Source organism: Homo sapiens, chromosome 1 (assembly GCF_000001405.40).
Source record: "Homo sapiens chromosome 1, GRCh38.p14 Primary Assembly".
Classification (NCBI taxonomy): Eukaryota; Metazoa; Chordata; class Mammalia; order Primates; family Hominidae; genus Homo; species Homo sapiens.
In genome coordinates, this window is record NC_000001.11 from 227,065,021 (window position 1) to 227,086,257 (window position 21,237).

General features: G+C 34.7%; 1 protein-coding gene across 25 annotated transcripts in view, besides 1 other annotated feature; it reads right to left on the bottom strand.

Annotated features, from left to right (window-relative positions):
* The window catches only part of CDC42BPA (CDC42 binding protein kinase alpha), a 328,635-nt gene that overhangs the window by 75,163 nt on the left and 232,235 nt on the right, over nucleotides 1-21,237 (bottom strand). For 14 of the 25 annotated variants that reach the window (NM_014826.5, XM_047432364.1, XM_047432365.1 and 11 more), the window contains 5 exons: nucleotides 15,873-15,997; nucleotides 9,239-9,344; nucleotides 8,844-8,992; nucleotides 7,188-7,279; nucleotides 4,757-4,833 (listed from right to left, as the gene is read on the bottom strand). In NM_014826.5, the coding sequence (NP_055641.3) occupies nucleotides 4,757-4,833; nucleotides 7,188-7,279; nucleotides 8,844-8,992; nucleotides 9,239-9,344; nucleotides 15,873-15,997 (549 nt within the window). Of the gene's footprint in view, nucleotides 1-3,633; nucleotides 3,682-4,756; nucleotides 4,834-7,187; nucleotides 7,280-8,843; nucleotides 8,993-9,238; nucleotides 9,345-15,872; nucleotides 15,998-21,237 lie in introns of all 25 variants that reach the window. The other 11 variants (XM_017002580.3, XM_011544309.4, XM_047432357.1 and 8 more) reach the window with 2 other exon arrangements.
* Nucleotides 7,177-7,760: an enhancer, noted in NCBI's record as "NANOG hESC enhancer chr1:227259898-227260481 (GRCh37/hg19 assembly coordinates)". NCBI's record gives its function as "activates a minimal SCP1, AML or CMV promoter by ChIP-STARR-seq in naive H9 embryonic stem cells {active_cell/tissue: H9 hESC(naive)}" and the evidence as "EXISTENCE:reporter gene assay evidence [ECO:0000049][PMID:30033119]".

Here is a 21,237-nt window from a genome sequence, read left to right on the forward strand (position 1 = left end):
CGGGAGGCGGAGCTTGCAGTGAGCTGAGATCGCGCCACTGCACTCCAGCCTGTGTGAGAGAGCGAGACTCCATCTCAAAATAAATAAATAAATAAATAAATAAATTAACTCAAACCCTTCTTTATCTGTCCTAAAGAATATTTTACATAACAATGTATCACCACACTGTCCTAATCCCCAAAGATTGAGAACTTTAAAAAAGTCACTCTTAAAAATGGGAGAGTAACCTATCCACTCTTAATAACAGAAGAGTGCTGTAATGGTTAAAACAACTGGATTAAATACTTTCTAAGGTTTTCTCCTTCAAAACTCTATGATTCTACATGTAGAAAAGCCCAAATGCCTACATTCCCCCAAGTTAGAGAAGCAGAGAGTGTTGAGAATATGCTCTGCTCTGCCTGGTTGCCTCCTTTCATTTTCCCAGAGGGAAGGGAATGACTGGTATTACATATATTTCTTCTCTTCAAAGCTACTCTTACACATACAAGTATTGGCCAAACAATGTGACTTAAAAAGGAAAGCATGTTGCTCCGAACATCTTCCCATTGTGCCAAAAATTCCAGCATTCATTTGAATTTTGAGTTAACAGGCAAAACATGTGGAGGAAAAAATAGGGATGGGAACATTTTAACTTAAAACCGTACTGTTTTAAATAAAGTAACTACACTTAGAGGCCTGTGTGGAAGGGTAAAAGTAGGAGTAAAGAAGGTAACTTTGGAGGAGGAGAGGCACTGGTGGTAAAGCTCCAACAAATCAGAGGGCAGCATGAGAACACTGGGTTCCCAGAGACAGAGGGAGAAGAATGATAATATGTTGATACCAAAGGACTTGATTCCTGCAATTCTAGTCAATACTAGTCTTATTCCCTTCTATACGTACAAGTTCCAGCTGCAATTCAAACTTTAGGTCTTCAACATAATCTCCTCTATAGCAACGAGACAGAAAACAAAAAAGAATGTCCAGAAGGATGTGTACTACTCATTAGAGCCTTACCGCAAAGGGCAGGCATATAAGCATCAAGCACAATATAACTAGATTTGGCACAGAGAACAACAGAGACCTGATTTGCTCCTTAAGAATCCAAGTGCAGCCGGGCGTGGTGGCTCACGCCTGTAATCCCAGCACTTTGAGAGGTTGAGACGGGCGGATCATGAGGTCAGGAGTTCAAGAGCAGCCTGGCCAACATGGTGAAAGCCCGTCTCTACTAAAAATACAAAAATTAGCTAGGCACGGGGGGCATGCACCTGTAGTCCCAGCTACTTGGGAGGCTGAGGCAGGAGAATCGCTTGAACCTGGGACGCAGAGGTTGCAGTGAGCTGAGATCGTGTCACCGCACTCCAGCCTGGTGACAGGGTGAAACTCTGTCTCAAAAAAAAAAACAAAAACAAAAACAAAAAAAGAATCCAAGTTCCTAGCAGAAAAAGAGCTACAGAAGAACTTGAGCGTTATGCGAAATATCTTGGATGCTGAACTCAAGTATGTCAAAGATTGAATACTGCTGTTCAAAACATCATTCTGCTATGACTTTGAGGATCAAATGAATGAATGATAACTCTGGGAAGGGAGATCATAGGTACAAACTCTAAAGAGAAACACAAAGTTTGTGCCATAAAATATTGGTGGTGGATAGATGACTGAGTGATGAAGAGCTAAGAAAGCATTTAAGTGAAACTGAACTGATGGATGAGAAAAGAAGCTAAAGAGAATACAGAAAGGGAGGGAACCAGCTTATTAAAAGTAATAAGGGCATTATTACTGACGGCATTACATACACTGTTTCCTTAAATCTTCAAACAACATTATGAGATTAGTTATATTATTATTACTATTTGCCTGATGAGCAAATTTAGGGTGTAGAAAGGTTAATTTCTTCCAAACCATACACCTAGAAAGTTGTACAGGCAGGATTTGTGCCTGCTTATGCACTTAACCAATAAATTGGGAGAATGGAGCTTAGAAAGCACATGAGTGGGAAATCATGCCTTTTAGGAGGTGGAATATAAATAAAAGATTTGGCAGCTCTTGTGAACTCAGTTCCTTTTTACTTCATACTAGGAGTTCCCTTGCAGTGCAATAAAATTTACTTTTATATTTATACTGAGCTCATGTTGCATTAATAGAGGGTAGAAGATGAGAAAGGATATTCCTGGAGGAAAAGTAACACTGGGAAATGGCTGCGGGGTGCTCAGGCATTACAGGTGGGTGGCAGCAGTGGCAGAGTGCCTGTGAGAGCAGAAACAAGCTGAGGACCTGGCTGGGGTGTGCATTCCTGAAAGGTCTGCTGAGAAGACCTCATGTATTTGCCAAAATACATACTGCTCTTAGGTTTTACAATCAAATATATGTACATTTTTTTTTTGTGACAGGAAAAGGGATGGAGAGAAGTTTGTTAGAAATAAAAAGGTTTTCTAGTGGAAAGAACAACCAAAATAATTTACTCAAACTTCCTTCCCTTTCTTTTTTAAGGTGAATAATATCTGTATGGAAATATCATATTGAATATTTTAACATCCTGAGCAGCAGATTATAACATGCAATACCACTGTACACGAGGAGAGTTCTCTTTTTATCACACTATAGAGTTAACCAGAGTAATTATTTGTTTTGAGAATAGCAAAACACTTTGTTTAGAATGAAAATGTGCAAACTTCAGTATAAATATTCCAAGCATATTCAAAATCACTTTTTTGTTCAATAATTTTTAAACATCTAGATCAAGAAGTTCCTTTAGCAGAACATTATGCTAACTACTCTTCTGACTATAAGTATCCTAACAAAACAGAAAGAATAAAACATTAAAAAATCTCCCGATTTAAAAAACAATTCTATGCACAATATTTGCATTTGAATCCATTTTATTTCCCCATTTCTGTAAAGACTATTCAACAGGATAATAAATGCTTTAGGACAAGAATTACTGTGCATTTAATGTGGAATAGAGAGAATGTTATGCCAGGTAGTAAAGAGAATGAATGATACACATTTAACAGGAACTTCTAAATTATTAAATTGATAGAATTCAGGAGAGAAAGTGATAATGCAGTCAATTTATAGTGCATATAGTGAATATGTTAACTAAAATCACTTTGCACATTAGAAGAGAAATTCTGTCAGCATTAGAAATAAATCAATTAAACATTGATTTATTTTAAAATCAGTACTCTATTATTGTCATACAATAAAACCTACTGGAGAAATTAATTAAAAGTAATTTTTTTTTATTATACCACCAGAGGTTTATTTTTAACCAACATAGAAATTAAACAGTAAAGTGCTGAAAAGAAAAGGGAAAAGTAAAATAGAAATCGCCAGGAAAAATAAAAATAAGCAATTATTTATATATATATAAAAAATAATTAAATAAGCATTCTAGTTTTAGAATTCTTACAAAGACTGAAAATACTGGGATTCTACAACAGTCAAAGCATTTTTGAAAGTAAATTTTTACTTCATTATGTTTAATACTGATAAATCCTTCATTATATTTAAGATAAGAAAGAAGCATATTTTGGCTCACATAAATTTTCAAATGTGGTATTTCTAAAACTGACTGCATTACTAGGCAAATTCTTCAAATCAATTCACTGATCTTTTTTACTGAAGGATGCATTGGTTTGAAAATCAAAGACTTACGTCATCCAAAAAATCAATCAGTGAAGATGAGGAAGAAGAAAAGGAATCCTATTTAACGAATACAGCAATAAAAAAATAGAAAATATGGATGAAGCAATTTAATAAGAATAATAAATCAAAAACTTTGTAAAACAATTGAAAGGCAAATGACATTAATTCAAATAAATAAATGAGAAAAGCAGTCACTATCATTGTTCTTGAGAAACTTAAGAGATTCATTAATTACTTTTTAAAGAGTGATTATTTTTCCTTTTCCTAAAGGAACGAAACACAATTCACATACTGTGCCCAAAATGTAATAAAATGAAGCTCATGACAAATAATTAATAATCAAATTAAATGTAAGTACTTTTGAAGTAACAACTAAAAGTAAGCAATGGAATTCCTGAGGCTTCTAATTCTTCCCACTGGAATGTAAGTTCTAGTGGGAAGGACTTTGTCTATTTTGGTCACTACTATATCTCCAGCACTTACAACAGTGCCTTGCACAAAGCTACATGATTATTATTTGTTCAATAAAGATATAATCACACTTAAATTTACTGAGACAAAAATATACTTGATAACAGTAAGTTGATTTTTTTAAAGCAAAGAATTTAAATACCAACGAATGATCAAGAGTTACATAATCACAATTTCATTACTGTGTGATATGCCTAACAGAGTCTATGTAACACCTTTTAACAAAAGCACTTCTTACTGTATAGTTTTTAAAAGATGAATTGATTTGAAATAAGAACCAGCAATACCTTATTGTCAGCTTTGACATTTTCTCACTTTTTATTGTGGCACTATGCTTTGGAGAATAAAAAAATTGTCAAATTATTTCAAAAGTTGGGATTTGTTCTGCTCTTAATGTTTCTTAAGGGAGATGAAATTGCTTTTAAATCTTATAATGACTCTCATGATTAAATCTTTCTTAGATGTTTTGTTAAACAGAGGTGGGATTATAGTCTCCATAAGAATGCAGAACATATTCCTCTGCTAATATGTTTTTGTTTATTTAAGATTCTAGGTCCTCTGATGTGGGAAGCAATAAAATGGTTTTATTATAAGTGAACTTTAAATTACAAAGTGAATTTTAAATTGACCCCAGAGGATATGTGACATGTTTAATACTTACTTCAAATTGATCCAGAGCATCGGTAGGCGTATTCAAAAATGCCAAGAAAGAATGCTGTGAGTCTTGGTGCTCTATACCTAGAAGACAGCAGCAACTTTTTTTAAGGCTACAACAATTAAAATTGATTTTAATGGATAACCTTCCCTGTCTGAATCTACTAAAAGCAGTTCACAAACTACTGTATTTCAAAGTTGATCACTATAATTAACTCTACATTTAAACAAAACTAAAATACACTAGTGTTTCCTAGAATATCACTTAATAGTTCAATTACATCAGTTTCCATGAAATGCTTATTTATGTTACTGAGTTTCTTTCTTTTTGTGTATAGTAAATAATAAAAAACCACATTAAATCTTTTGGTAGGCTTGAGAGAATTTAAAAATAGGAGTCTGTTTATATCTGATTTTTCTAAGCTAATTCAACACCAAACAGGCTTATGTTTTGAAATACTCTTATCAAAGCACAGAGTATGCACTAATAAGAATAATCCTTTATAAGAAATTAATGCAGTGATGAAACAAATACACTTAATTACAAAAAAACTGCCAATCTGATTTCAGGTATTTTTTTATTGACAGGATGAAGACTCCAAACCCCAGTTTTTCTCAGATGAATTTTTAAAAATTCATACATATCTCTTGACTATGGCATTAACTTTAAATGCACAATTTCCCAAGTAATTCTTACAACATACAAATAAAAATACTAGGTAGAAAAAAACCAGAAAACAGCCAATCCCACATTTTTCACTTCCATATCCTTAGGAATTGACATCAGCTGATTTGTGTTTTTCATATTACTATCTAATAATATAACACAGTTATCAGGTAAGGCAGTATGTTCAGAAATTCATTCAAATATTGAGAGTGTGCCAGACACTGTCCTAGAGACTTGGGGAAATAATAGTAAATGAAGCATTAAAAACATCCTTGCCCTCATACTGTAAATATCACATTATATTACTGAAGTAGTAGTATACATTATGTTATACAATAAAATTTTGTTCTGCAATATTCAAAATCCAAATTAAAAAGCTGTGGTAAACATGCCTTCAGTGATAAACTTAAGTCTCTTTCAAGTTTAGGTCTATTCTAAAAATGATGCAATCAATGTCATCTGGCGTGCAAGTCATATTCTGCACTAGTCTCTCTCCTATTTGCCATTAGGGCCACGAGTTGTCCATGTCTTACGAATTCTTTTTCTTTTCCTCACTAAATAATGTATCTTCTTTCAAATTTCCATTAATTAAAACCTAGCTTGATTTTCATTTTGGCATGATGGCTTGTGCTCCTAATCTGAATTACTATTCACTTTTTCTGGGCTCCTTCCTTTTGTTGTTAATTAAGAAATTCAATCCACAAGAATTTATTGAGCATCGACTATTTGTAAAGGCTTTTTCTTGTTAGCTTCTTTATGTGATTACTCTCTGTTCTCTATCATTTTACATGCAGATGCAGAGACTCCACCAGTTTTATCTCACTGTGTTGCATGGCTGAGAAATGATAGGAAAGCACTTAGACCTAATAAAAAGCCCATTAACGAGTTCAGTATTCAGTGATGGCCTTTGTCAGGAAAATCAATTTCAAATAAATGTATATAAGATATCCCTTTATTTTAAAAATATCTGAATTTCTTTTTATTAAATCTTCACTTTCTTAACATCCACATTAAGGAAAGTTTAAGAAGTTCATGTAATACAGCTATGAAGCACTCTGACTAAGCTTTCACATGAATGGAAAAATGTTCAAGTAAAGTTTTCAAGAAAATGGTAATAAATCCGGGATATCCTACAGGACAAGCAATTTAAGTGTCAAACTGGAAGAAGACATTAAAATGCCCCCCAAAATTTTCCTTACTGAATTGCTCCATTAATACTAAATTAATCTTCAGCTATTTCATACATTGTTTCCTCAACTACCCTGAAAGTGAATCCCACCCCCCCCCCCCCAATTTTTATACATTCTAGGCACATAAAAAGTGCTAGGAAATACTTGTTCAAGTACCCTTACCAAGTTCTGGATGTTAACACACATTGCCACTGTCAGAGTGATAACCTCATATCATAGCATTTGAGAATATTATAAAGTACATTATAAAATAAAATTTTTTTCCAATCACAAAAATGTTATTCATGAAGTAGTCCACTGCACTGAAAAAAAACGTCAAATTTATGGCAAAGTGTCTTTTTCTGTTACTATGAAATCATTAAACAATGCATATTAAGTAAAACAAAATGACTCAGAGGTCAGTCTTCCAAATGTGTGTGTATGCACATGCATCATATATACACACGTATATTCATAAATGAGTGCCAGAATTGCTTATGTCAACAATTCTCCCACCTATGCAATGAATTGATTCTTCTGTAATAAAATATATTTATAACATAACAGTAAGTCCTGAGTGAGGCAAACACACACTCCCATACCCTTTTCAGATCTAAGCTCTTCAGTGTCCTTTATCAGCTGTTCGATTTCTGAGAGTAGTTCCAAGTTCTTCTTCTCTGAATCTTTTAGTTTACTTAAATAAGGAGAAAAAAGGAAAAATGTCATTAATTTTTATTGCTGGTTAGTGAGCCATCTTGGATGTAGCCAAACTTACTTGGTTTAAATGTCAGGCATGGTAAATTAGGGGACTATAAATTACTGCGGGAAGAACAAATACAGCTTGCTACCTACTTTCATGTAGATTAACAGTTTTACTAGAACACAGCCAATCTCATTCATTTAAGTATTGACTATGGCTGCTTTTACACTACAATAGCAGAGATGAGAAGCTGTGATGGAAGCTAATCAAAGCCTAAAATATTTACTAAATGAACCTTTACAGAAAACATTTGTGGACCCTGAACTAAATTATTAAATTTAAAAATGTTACAAAATCAAAGGTTAATTTTAGAATTCTGTTAGACTTTGTTAGATATTATACCATTACAGGCAACCATGAAAGTGGAGCACATACAGGAGTAAGTTTATAATTTTTCAAACTGGCTCATCTTCCTGACTTATGAACAATATGTAAACTCATCTGTCCTAGGCATAAGGAGAAAAGATATTACTTATTTCAAATTACAACACAGAGAATGATATTCATTAGCTCTTTATGCTGGGATCAATTCACTTTCTCCAGAAAAAGTTTTCCCCTCCTCAATGCCACATAAGCACATTTAAGTAAAACATACAATGTCTGCATTATTTATAGCAAAAAGCTTATAAACCAAAAGTTTATAATCCAACAGAAGTATCATGTATCTGGCCTTTGATTTGATTAAAAAGATAAACAATTGCAGTTTAAGGACTATGACTACACACCATTAAAAACTGAATTCATGGGCCTGCATTTCTTTTCAGGCTTTTGGAACTTTTGGTATTCTCAGCAGTCAATGGATTTTCGTATTTGTAGTTTCACTTGTGATGTGAAGTTTCTATTGTTCCTCTATGTCACTTAAACTGGCTTATTTTGAACCATGTTTATAATCAGTCTAACTGTGAATCATTTATGTATTCAGAGTATGATTCACTCTAGTGTTGTGACCAGAATTGACGAAATGTGTTCATTAGCTAACTGCTTCAGAGACTGTGGGATACACTTTTTCTAAATACATAAAGAAACATGAAAAACAATAATTATACTTAAAAGATATTATATCATTATGAAATTTGCCATCAATAGAATTTTCATTTATAAAAGACCTATGGTAGAGGCCACAATTTTCAAATGATTATATTTTGTTCTCACCATATGTTGTATTATTATACAAATATAATATTCCTAAACATGAGAGAATTTTAGGTTTAATAAAATTTGAGAGTCAACTAAATTTTATGAGGAAAATTAAATAATGGAATATTATTTAATACTATTAATTCTACTTTATGGACAAGCCAGAGGAAAACAAGGCTATATTAAAACCTCATCACTATCTACAAGGCTTAAAAGCATCTAGTTATTTTCAAATCTTTGTAACATATTTGGCCATCATTTTTCTAAAAGCAAGCAATGGAAACTAAACATGTAACTTCTCTCCAAATAATTATGACAAACTTAGAAATTATTCTAGTGGGACTATATGATTCAATCTTACCATTCTGTTATGATATTAGATGCTTTAACTTTATTCAACTCTTCTTGGATGGCCTGTTTGGCTCTTATTTCTGCATCCAGAGCCGACTGCAACTCCAGTCTAGCTGACATATCCAGTTTCGCAAAACGACGCATTTTCCAGGGCATATCCTATGAAATAATGACTGTGTTTTTAGTTCCATCCTATTTTTAACATTTAAATTATTATAGTTAACCAGCTGTGTGTTATGTTTTTCTAAACTGGAAAAGACCCAAACTAATAGTTTTCTCATAAAAAACTCTTTAGTAGGCTCAAAGTCTAAACAAACTGATATAAGTAATTGGATTTATTATAGTGTTTTTTAAATCTCTTTTTTCTAATATGATAAGCCTCCATGCAAAATCATAGAAGCTTACTGTTGCTCGTGTACCCAAGCTGGAATTTCTTAATGCCTCCAATTCTTCAGTCATTTTAGAAGCTAAGGCCTGAAGATACCCTCGTGCATCCTTTTCATCGCTGACCCTAGAATATATAAAGACAAAGTACAAAAGTAAAACAAAAAAGCTTCAGTGCAATATATGTTATTTTAAAGCTTCCTAAAGAAATAAGTGGTAGGAAATTCAAAGATAGTCTTAAATAATTTCTTTGAAAAGGTCTACCATAGTATACTACCTGTCAACAACTGGGAAGAGGTTTATGGAACTGTTCTTTTATGTACATGGTAGAGCAGGTGATGTTTACAAAAGTCCAAGTTACTCATAGCTGATACATTATTAAAACTTCACCCTTGAAACACAGAATTAACACTCTTTAAATCTAACAATTAACACAGATGCACAAATGTGTGAGGTTTTCTAAATAATAAGATTTCTCAATTGGATTCTGCCATTTTATATCATAAAAACAACATACCATTCTTAAAACTGAAGTGTATATTAAATTTAGAAAGTTTAATGTAGGATATTCTGCAAAAATCAGGGTTATATTGTAATTAAGCTCTTCTGTTTTCTGAAATGATCAATAAAATAACAAAGAGGGAAGATTAAAGTCTACCAAAACCTAATTTCTACTTACTGTCTTAAGGCTATCTAGCTAACGATACAATTATAATTTTAGACAGAAAGTTTTCAAATTATATTTAGTAAGACAAATTCCACATTTTAGAATTTCTCAAGAAAACGTCTGCATTTCTTACACTTCCCTCAAGTGGGGAGAAGGTGAGGGGAGGAGTCCAGCATATCTACAAGAATCTAAAAAAGAAGGTCCTATTCTCAGGAAGAATGAAAACCACTGGTATACAGAAAGCCATACTGCACAAACAAAAAAAATGGAGTTGAAATTTGCAATGCTCACAAGTGTATTCTAAACACACTTTGGGGAAGACAATTTGTCTTTGTGCAGGCTGGTTGTCTTCAGATAAAATCCAGGTCACTGAAGCTATGAGGAAAGTATATTTCAGGTAAATCAGCATGTATCCGATGCATACAGCAGACATGTTTAACTCCTGAGCTCTGCTTTAGTATCTCTTAGAATGTAAACTCCTGAGGAGTCAAATTTATATATATCTTAAAGAGGCCCTTTAAAAGAGGCTTGTTGCTCTCTCCTCTTAGATGGGAGATTGTCTTTGGAGTATAAGCAAAAGAAAATATGGAGATGCAATAAAACCATGGTAAGGGACAGTTACACATTCCTAGGCTCTATCTACATGTACACATTTTTATTGCCTGTTAAAGAAAAATGGTTTTGGAAATTATTTTAAGAATGTTTGTGTAGCAAGGGTTGTGTCCTTCTAAAATTCTTTGACTACAAGTGACTGTAATCTTTTCATTTAATTACCTGATCTATAGTGTAGAGAATAAATTGGGATGAAGGAAGATTATCTTTTTTAGAATACAAAAAAGATACTTATATAGTAACAATAAAGAAAACTGTATTATCCTTTAAGTGCCCAGGCTAACAGGTCTCACCTAGTGCTGGTTTAGTATCTACCATGGCTCAGAGATCTTAGTTTATGCACATTTCCAAGAAACTGTGAAGTCCAATGTGTTTAATTAACTTTGGAAATCAACCTCTTGTAAACTGACTTTAAGTTATTTGGAATTTTATATGACAATCTCTTTTTTCTAACTTTGCTTTTTATTTACATGTTGAACACATTACATGTTGAACACATTTATTTACATGTTGAACACCTTACAACTGCAGTCTTCCACTAATTCCTAACTTTTGATTAAACCTATTTCTCTTTTTCTTGGCTATAGAGAATTACTGGTTTGGAGGGCAACTCATGCCATTTAAGTTCCACTGTACTCTAAGTCTCACACAACTCCTTCTCATAATCATTGCTATTTGTCTATTTTTCCACCTCATTAAAAAAAAATCTTACTTTCTCCAACCCCACCACTATCTTTCTCTCTTATTTATTTATTTTTTTGAGAGAGTCTTGCTCCGTTGCCCATGCTAAAGTACAGTGGCACAATCTCAGCTCACTGCAACTTCCGTCTCCTGGGTTCAAGCAATTCTCCTACCTCAGCCTCCCTAGTAGCTGGGATTACTGGCACATGCCACCACGCCTGGCTAATTTTTGTATTTTTAGTAGAGATGAGGCTTAGCCACGTTGGCCAGGCTGGTCTTGAACTCCTGACCTCAGGTGATCCACCCGCCTCAGCCTCCCAAAGTGCTGGGATTACAGGCGTGAGCCACCGCACCTGGCCCCAACACTATCTCTTGCTCCTTGCTTGTAGGCCATTTGGTTAAGTTTATTCATATTCATTCTCTTAACTTTTAAAACCAGTTTTAGAGGTAGGTGTCTTATCTTTTATTTGGCTAAATCATTCAAATATTTCTTAATAACAGTTATTATTACTATACATAATCACCCTCCCTACTACACCTCATATTTTCAATTTCATTATTTCCATTGGTTCCTTTAAACATGTACAAACTCTACCAAATCCAAAAGTTCCCTGTCCTCCTCACTGACAAATCCCCAAACATCCCATTTTCCCTCTTTCATTGTTACACTCCATACGTGTAATTGCTCTAGTATTAAACCCTCCATTCACTACTCTATACTTCCCGAAGTCTAATTCCTGCCTCAACTATTTTGCTGAAGCTAATCTGTTAAAACTCAACTACAGAAGGCCAACTTAGATCTATGTGTTCTCTTGGCACATTTAATCCTTCCCTTCCAAGTTCTCTCAAATGATCAATTAGTTAATACTTATTAAATACTATTGCATTGGGCATATTGAGAAGACAAATAAGGGACAGTTCCTGAAAAGTTGGGGCATATATAGTAATTAGGAACTTTGATTCTTAAGTCATATAGACCTGGTTTCAAATCCTAGCTCTGGTGCTTACCAGCTGTGTAACTTTGGGCAAATTACTTCTCTTTGTTATCCCACTTATAAAATGGGGATAGTAAAAATATCTATCTCACAGGACCGGTGTAATAACTAAATAAGAATACATGTGAATTTCCAGCCTAATGACCAGAACACTCTTATGTTTTAATCAATAGAAGCTATTACTATACACAAATGAGCATTACTGAATGAGGAATGTTTCAAATATGTGAGTGGATTTAAATAAAGAGAGACAAAGGTTTCATTACTGAAACGCTTTGTAATTATTAAACCCTTCTCCTGGTTCTCCTCTACAGAGCTGTTTCATCTAGCTTTTATAATATAGCCCTTACCATCCTCCTTCTTTCTTGTCTCCTTAAAAAGATCTCAACCACTTCACTGGCCTTATTCACAAGGAATTTAATTCCCAAATTTACATTTCTAATCCTAATCTTTATGTTAGTTTTTCAAAAGCATGAGAAATCTCTACTAAGATGTCTCAGGATCACCTCAGTCTTACCAACAAACAAAATAAAATAACAGCTAAAATTGATTGTATCATCTTCCCCAAGGGTGGTTACCCCTCTTAACTTTCCTACTTCAATGATGCCATCATTTTCTTAACCTCCTTAACTCACAATTCAGGAATACTAATTTCTCCTCATCTCTTGCCCTTCATTTGTAAATAGTATTAAGTCCTATAGAGTTTTCTTTCACAATGTCTCCTGCATTTGTTCACTTTATTTCCAACATTACCTTCTACTTCATTCTGAACATTACTGTTAAGAGCTATTTGCCTAATCATCATTTTAATTAACACCATTACCTTTGAAAAACCTTCTCCATCTTACAAATAAGTGAAGGTAAAATTCTTACCTAGTATTCATGACAACTGTGTTGCAGTAACTTTATTACTCTTATTTCCTACTATTCTTTTACAAAAATTCTCCAATTTGGTCAAACTAGGTGTAGGATATTTTACTAAACTCAGGGTTTTCAGAACACACAGTCTAGTTTAACTGATTATTCCCACCCTTCTTGAGCAACTAGTCTGAGATAATTTTCTCAACACTACATTCTTATTTTTAAAAAGTCAGTATCTATTCAATATGTAAGGCATTTATATTTAAGTCTCATAAGTTATCTCCAGCTCTGGTCAAAATAGTTTTTAAACTTTAAATGTTTAGTTACAAGTTACTTAAAGAAAAGTACTACATTTATAGATCTCTGTATCTCTTATTGTACCAGAAGAATGCCTTATGTGAGGAAAACACATTTAAAAAATAAATCTTATGGACTAGCCTATTAATCTAACCTCTCTTTGTAATATTATTTCAAAGAGAAAACGTGAAGTCCTCTGATGAGCCAATGGCGAGAAGGAAGGTTCCTACTCTAACGGCGGTGAGAAGATGTCCTTGCTCTAAAAGAGTTTCTGATGAAAGGGATATTTCATAGCAAAAGAGAGAGGAGGTGGAGTTCAAGAGCCATTAGAAGTGACTTCGTAAAAGGTTTTATATACTGCAGTGTTTGTTTTGTATTAAAACTGTTCATTTGTCCCAGGAAACATTTAAAGTGCTATATGTCATGAGGTCCTATAATCTTGTTTGAGCATTACCTCATTTTTCAAAAGAAGGTTGAGTATTCCTAATCTGAAAATCCAAAATCTGAAATGCCTCCAAATCTGGAACTTTTTGAGTACTGACAAGATGCTTAAATTTTTGGATTAGGGATGCTGAACTGTTAAGTATAACGCAAACTTCCCAAAATCCAAAAGAAATCCAAAATACTTCCGGTCCCAAGCATTTTGAATAAGGAATACTCAATCTGTAAACTAAACTCAAAAAATGAAAATAACTCAGTCTTCTGACCTTTATAAACTTGGATATTGTATCTCACAGAGTTAACTTTGAAGTGGTAAGAAAGTTGAACAGGGAATATATATTTTACTTTTTCCCTTTGGGTATTTGCCAATCTGCTATCTATTACTCCATTTCTAAATAAAAAGTAGGGTTAATAACAGCTTTCATGCAAAGTGACTTCCTCGTATTTCTGATTTCTGCATATTTCGTTTGAATGTGAAAAGTGTATAGTGAGTGTTTTGTGGCATCATATAAAACTTTCATCTTCACCCTTTCTATTAACCCTTTCTACAAAGCCCACATTGAAAGCTTCCTTCCATTACTAGCACCACTTCCCATTCCAGCTGAACTCATCATGCCAGACACTTGAAAAAATCAGTAGTCTAGTATCACAGGTTTTGACTCTGTCTTCTGAAGTCATTTTCAGCTCCTCCTTACATATATATTTGATAACATAAAAATGGAATCACAAATATCAAGTCATAATTTTTGATATTATAAACTTGGTTAAACATTAAAATGGATTTTGCTTCAGAAATGCAGACTTGATGATATAGATATAAATTAATGAACCAATAACTGTACTGTCTAGAACCCAAATAAATTTCCACAATCTGCATATTCCCTTTATATGCACTGAATAGAAACATTATAAGCATTAAGAGCTCTTAATGGAAAAACATTTGAACCAAAATATGCATACAGGAATTAAAATTCCCTACAAATGACTGATCTATAAATATATGATGAAACTATAGGCTGGGTATCCTTTACATGAAATGCTTGAGACCAAAAGTATTTTGGATTTCAGGTTTTTTTTTTAAATTTTGGAATACCTGAATATACATAATGAGATTATCTTGGGGATGGGACCCAAGACAAAACACAAAATTTGTGTTTTATATACATCTTATAAACATAGCCTGAAGGTTAACTTTTTACAATGTTTTATAATAATTTCTTGTGTATGAAACAACATTTTGACTGTGACCCATCACAAAGTCATGTCTAAAATTTTCTACTTGTGGTGTCACGTCAGCACTCATAAAGTTTCACGTTTTGAAGCATTTCAGATTTCAGATTTTCAGATTAGGAATGCTCAACCTGTATTTGTTTTGATATAAATTAAACACCTACCATTTGCCAAAATGGATTTCAAAAGTTAAATAAATATAAAAAGTTAAGTTACCTATTTTTACTTGGAAATACAGTCTTCATTAGATTCTACTTTCCCCATGTATTATTAAAATATGAAATTTTTTTACCAGCACCAGAATAATCGTTTAATAAATGAATATGAAGGTTACTAAGATGAATATTCCAAACTAAATCCCAAGAGCTTAAGAAAGAGCTGATAAAACTAAAATGTAACCATTTAAGGTTTTAAAAATGCCATGTGTGAATTAATCTGGTATAATCATGATACAAGATAACAGTACAGTATCTTTAGCTTCTAAGTTTTTTTTGCAGGCCTTCCATTTCTTAAAATACTCACAAATACAGGACTTTTGGTCTTAGAAAGAAACATCCATAGGTAGCAGATGAATTCCAACTTTGACTCTGAAGGTGGTAACATTTTCTTAGAAAGTAATAATAATCAGATTTCAATGAAGCTGTGTTAAATGCTGGTATGGGACATTTGTTAGAGTTAGGGAACAGAGGAATGTAACAGAAAACACAGTAGAACACAACAGATCAGTAATAAAACTGTGCTTTTCAGAGTAACTTATTTATCACATCTGACAAATGAGATAAAAACCATTATTAGTAGCCACCTGGAATTCATACCAACTTGGCCACATACTCACAATCATCCACAAAAAAACGTTTAAAAGAGCACTCACCACTGAATTATTTCTGTGATTTGGGCTTCCCAATGTGCAACTGATTCTTTCTTGTCTGCTAGATCTTTAACCTCTTCTTCTAACTGCTGGTTGTGTATACTTAAGTTCTCATACAAAGTAGTAAGCTGAAAGATAGTTTTAAGACATGCATGACTTTTAGGACCAAGAATTCGAGGTGTTCAGACAGGTATTGTCAAATTTGATTACTCAACATCATCTACCCAAAAATGCCTGTCTTATTATAATAATCCCTTTTGCTCACTGAATTTGGATATCAAGTACTCTGAATTCTCCTGCTACCTTTGCTTTTCCCTTACAACCTACAGTGACTTGGTTCTGTGAACATTCTCTACTTGGCTTAAGAATTGCCCATTTCTGTTGGTAATAGCTTTTTTTTTTCTCCAAAAATGTCTTTATGTCATTTTTTCTTTAAAATAGCATGTAATTTCAAGCATATACAGAAAAGGAAAATAAAAATGAATTCCCATGAGCCCCACTACCTAATTTCAACAATGATTACTTCAACATCAATCTTGTTTCACTTGTACGCCTGTTCTCTCTCTCTTTTTTTTTTTTTCAGACAGAGTTTTGCACTTGTTGCCCAGGCTAGAGTACAATGGCACATTCTCAACTCACTGCAACTTCTGCCTCCCGGGTTCAAGCGATTCTCCTGTCTCAGCCTCCCCAGTAGCTGGGATTACAGATGTGCGCCATCACGCCCGGCTAATTTTTTGTCTTTTTAGTAGAGATGGGGTTTCACCATGTTGGTCAGGCTGGTCTCAAACTCCTGACCTCAGATGATAAGCCCACCTCGGCCTCCCAAAGTGCTAGGATTACAGGTGTGAGCCACCACGCCTGGCCTATACGCCTGTTCTCTTATCCCCTCCTCCTGTACTATTCGGGAACAAATACTAGACATCATACAATGTTATCCATACATATCACTGTATGTATCTCTAAAGAATAAGGATCTCTCTTTTAAAATATAACCACGATAGCATCATACTACAAATTTCACAAATTTCCTAATATCACATAAATAGTAATAGTTCAAGTTTCCAGTTACTTCAACATATCACAAAACTTGTTTATTAAACTGAATCATGATACCAATAAGAAAACCCAGCTTAATGGCTGGATATATGTTTTTTTTGAGACAGGGTTTCACTCTGTCACCCAGGCTGGAGTGCAGTGGTGTGATCTCAGCTTATTACAACCTCCACCTCCTAGGCTCAAGCAATCCTCCCACTTCAGCCTCCCTAGTAGCTGGGATTACAGCTAAAAAAAATTAGTATCCAGCTAATTTTTTATTTTTTTATTTTTTAAATTTTTTTGTACAGATGGGGTCTTGGCATGTTGCCCAAGCTGGTCTCAAGATTCCTGGGCTCAAGCCATCTGCCCGCTGTGGCCTCCCAAATTACTGTGATTACAGGCATGCACCAGCATGCCTGGCCCGATACATCTTTTAAGTCTATTTTATTTATAGGTTCCCCTGCAACACCTTTATTTTTCTTTTGACTTGAAGAATGCAGGTTGTCCTGGCTGGGCACGGTGGCTCACACCTGTAATCCCAGCACTTTGGGAGGCTGAGACGGGTGGATCACGAGGTCAGGAGATCGAGGCCATCCTAGGTAACACAGTGAAACCCCGTCTCTACTAAAAATAAAAAAAAATTAGCCAGACGTGGTGGCATGTGCCTGTAGTCCCAGCTACTCAGGAGGCTGAGGCAGGATAATTGCTTGAACCCGGTAGGTGGAGTTTGCAGTGAGCTGAGATTGCGTCACTGCACTGCAGCCTGGGTGACAGAATGAGACTCTGTCTCAAAAAAAAAAAAAAAAAAAAAAAAAAAGAATGTAGGTTGTCCTGCAGTTTTCCACATTCTGAATTTTTGCCTTCATTTCTGGAAGGCATTTTTTGCTGTAAATAACACTGTAAGTTGGCAGTTATTTTACTATAGCACTTTTAGGACATTCTTTTTCTTCTGAATTCCGTTTTTAATTTTTCTGTTGGGAGGTCAGTTTTCAGTTGAAGTTTCATGCCTTTGAACGTAATGTGTCTTTCTTCTCTGGTTGCTTTTAGAATTTTATGTTGGTTGGTTTCTGGCCGCTTTTCTAGGATTTGTCTAAGTGGGGTCTGATTTCTATTAATTATTTCACTTTTAGGGTTTGTGGTATTTCTTGAATTTGTGGCTAAATGTTTCTCATAGGTTTGGAAAAATTCTGGGCCATAAACACTCTTCAAATATTGCACTGCCACCATCTCTCTCCTTGCCTTTTGGGAAACCAATTATTTGTATGTTAGAACTTTTCATCACATCCTCTATGTCTTAGATCCTCCTTTCTATATTTTCTATTCTTTTTAATCCCTGACTACACTTTAGTCTAAAAAATTTTTTTTTAACATATGCAGTCCTTTTCTTTGTTTCTCTCCAATCTGTTTTTAAAATGTTCTATTGAGTCTTTTAGTTATTTAATTTTTTGCTCCTGGAAATTCTATTTGACAGTTTTGTATAGATTCCAGTTGTTTGCTGAAATCCTTCATATGTCTACTTTCTTGAACAAATCACACGATTAAAGTCCATTCATAAAAATTTCATACTGCGAACTCCTGCGGGTCTGTTTCTACTGACTGCCTGGTTTTTATTTTCCCTTTTTTGATTTTGTTTTTGCTGTTGAATTTTTCTCTTGGTTTTCAATGATTTGGTTGTGTTTGCTGATATGCCTGGTAATTTTTTACTGCATGCCACATATCGTGTATACAAACTTTAGATAATTTTAAGACTCTGGATAATATCTTCCTCCACAGAGTATTTACTTTTACTTTTGGTAGGCAATCAGAGTAAAGATAGATCAAAGATTGAAATACTTGGAGACTGGGTTTCAGTCACTGAGGACTCATGTTTCTTACTCACCCTTACTCCTAAAATGTAGGCTTTCAATGGGTTCAACTGAAAGTTTGAATTATTTACTAAAGATCCTGCAACTTGATAGGCAATGCACTTCCATTTTTCTCTCTCCAGCCTTGTAAAACTGTGGAATACCATGTTCAACTTCCTAGATTCTGAGGTTTTTCTGCTTTCATATCTGCAAATGCCTAAAGAGGAAAAGTGGCACTAAATGTTGGGCTCACTGCTCTGTACTATTCTTCTCTTTAGGATCTTGGTCAGTAAAGTCCTGGTTTCCTTGTTGTCACTCCAATGACTTCTTACAGATGAATACTGTAAGTGGTATTCATATAGTATTATTTTTAAAATCCAGCTTTATAGCTCTTCTTGGTGAGGTGGTAGGATGTAAGCTAATCTGTCACAGAAGCAAAAAGTTCTTGCTTTAAGTTTTTAGAAAATTCATGAAAAAGGCTGGGTGTGGTGGCTCACGCCTGCAATCCCAACACTTTGGGAGGCCAAGGTGGGAGGATCACCTGAGGTTAGGAGTTTGAGACCAGCCTGGCCAACATGGTAAAACCCCATCTCTACTAAAAATAAAAAAATTAGATGGGTGTGGTGGCACATGCCTTTAATCCCAGCTACTTGGGAGGCTGAGGCAGGAAAATCGCTTGAACTCAGGAGGCGGAGGTTGCAACGAGCAGAGATAGTGCCACTGCACTCCAGCCTGGGCAGCAGAGTGAGACTTCATCTCAAAAAAAAAAAAAAAAAATTTTTTTTTCATGAAAAAATATTTGCATACTACTTTATTTCAGAGCTACATTTTTTTCTGATAAATGGTCTCACCTGCTATTTATTACCACTCCTTTCTTCCTTTTTTGTATGTTTGTAGAGATACCGTGCTAGTTTCTTCTTGATTACTCAACTTTGATGAAGGTGAGTTGCTCCTAGAGGATCTATTTACAGGTTTTTAGGGATAAAAGGGCCATGTGATTGTCAACTTGACTGGTCCACAAGGTGCCTAGACATTGGGTCAAACATTATTCTGGGTAGGTCTGTGAGGGTGTCTCTGCGTAACACTTGAATTGGGAGAGTGAGAGAAGAACCCCCTCCCTAATGTATGTGAGCCCCATGTGATCAACTAAAGGCCTGAACAGAACAAAAAGGCTGAATGCACCAATAGTAGGGGGGAACATCAGCTGTGACATCAGCTTCTCCTGCCTTCAGACCTGAAACGAGGCAGAAGCTTTTCCTGAATGTTAAGCTTGCCAAGCTTTGGGACTGGAACTACAAAATATACTCTCCTGGGTCTCCAGCTTGCCCAATGCAGATCTCGGGACTTGTCAGCCTATATAATCACTTGAGCCAATTCCTTATAATCTCCCCTGCTCCCAACACACATACATATACCACCTCCCACCCCCCACATACACTCACTCTATTGGTTCTGTTTCTCTGTGGAACCCTAACTAATACAGGCCACAACCATGTTCTAAGTCAAGGGTCTGCAAACTTTTCCAGTAAAGAACCAGATGCAAGTATTTTCACCTCTGTGGGCCACATAAAATCTCACATCATCGTCATCTTCTTTTTAAAAATAGCCATTTAAAAATGTAAAGATCATTTTTATTCTGTGGGTCAGACAAAAACAATCTGGGAGCTAGATTTGGCCAGAGGCCATAGTTTGCCAACTCTCAATTCTAAGCTATTAGGAATTCTACTGATGACACAGGATTTTATTGGTGTGCATTTTGAACCTGTATTTCTGTGCAGAGATAGGCAATTTTGGCACAAATCACAAAGCAAAGTTTCATTTCTTCCCCTCTGGCAAAACAACAACAACAAATTGTTTTATGCATATAGAGTTTGTCTGTAATACCCCATTTAATCCTACCTCCAACCTCCTTGTCTTCCCAAAAGGAAATGAGATCCAGGGAAGCTATCACTCACTGCTGGCACACACTGATTTGCCTATTGCAAACAAGAGATTTAAGTTTGTACCTTAGGGTGTGCCATTTGCCTCTGAAAATATAGTTTACCAGTTTTTTTTCACACTTTTACTGAGGTATAATTTATATAACATAAAATTCACCCATTATAAGTGTATACTTGAATGATTTTTAGCAAACTTCAACAGTTGTACAGTGATTGCTACAATCCAGTTTTGGAACACTTCTAATACTCAAGAAATATCCCCATGCCTATTTATAATTGATCTTGGTCCGCACTCTGATTTCTCTAGGCATCACTGACCTGCTTTCTGTTTCTGTAGAAACATTTTCTGAAATCTTCTATCAATGAAATAACAGAATATGCAGTCTTTTGTATTGGACTTCTTTCACTTAGATTATTGAAGTTGAACCTCAATACTGTTGCATGCATCAGAATTTCACTCCTTTTTACTGCTGAGTGGTATTCTAGTATATGGGTATGATATGCTTTGTTTATCATGCACCATTGATAAACATTTGTACTGTTTCCAGT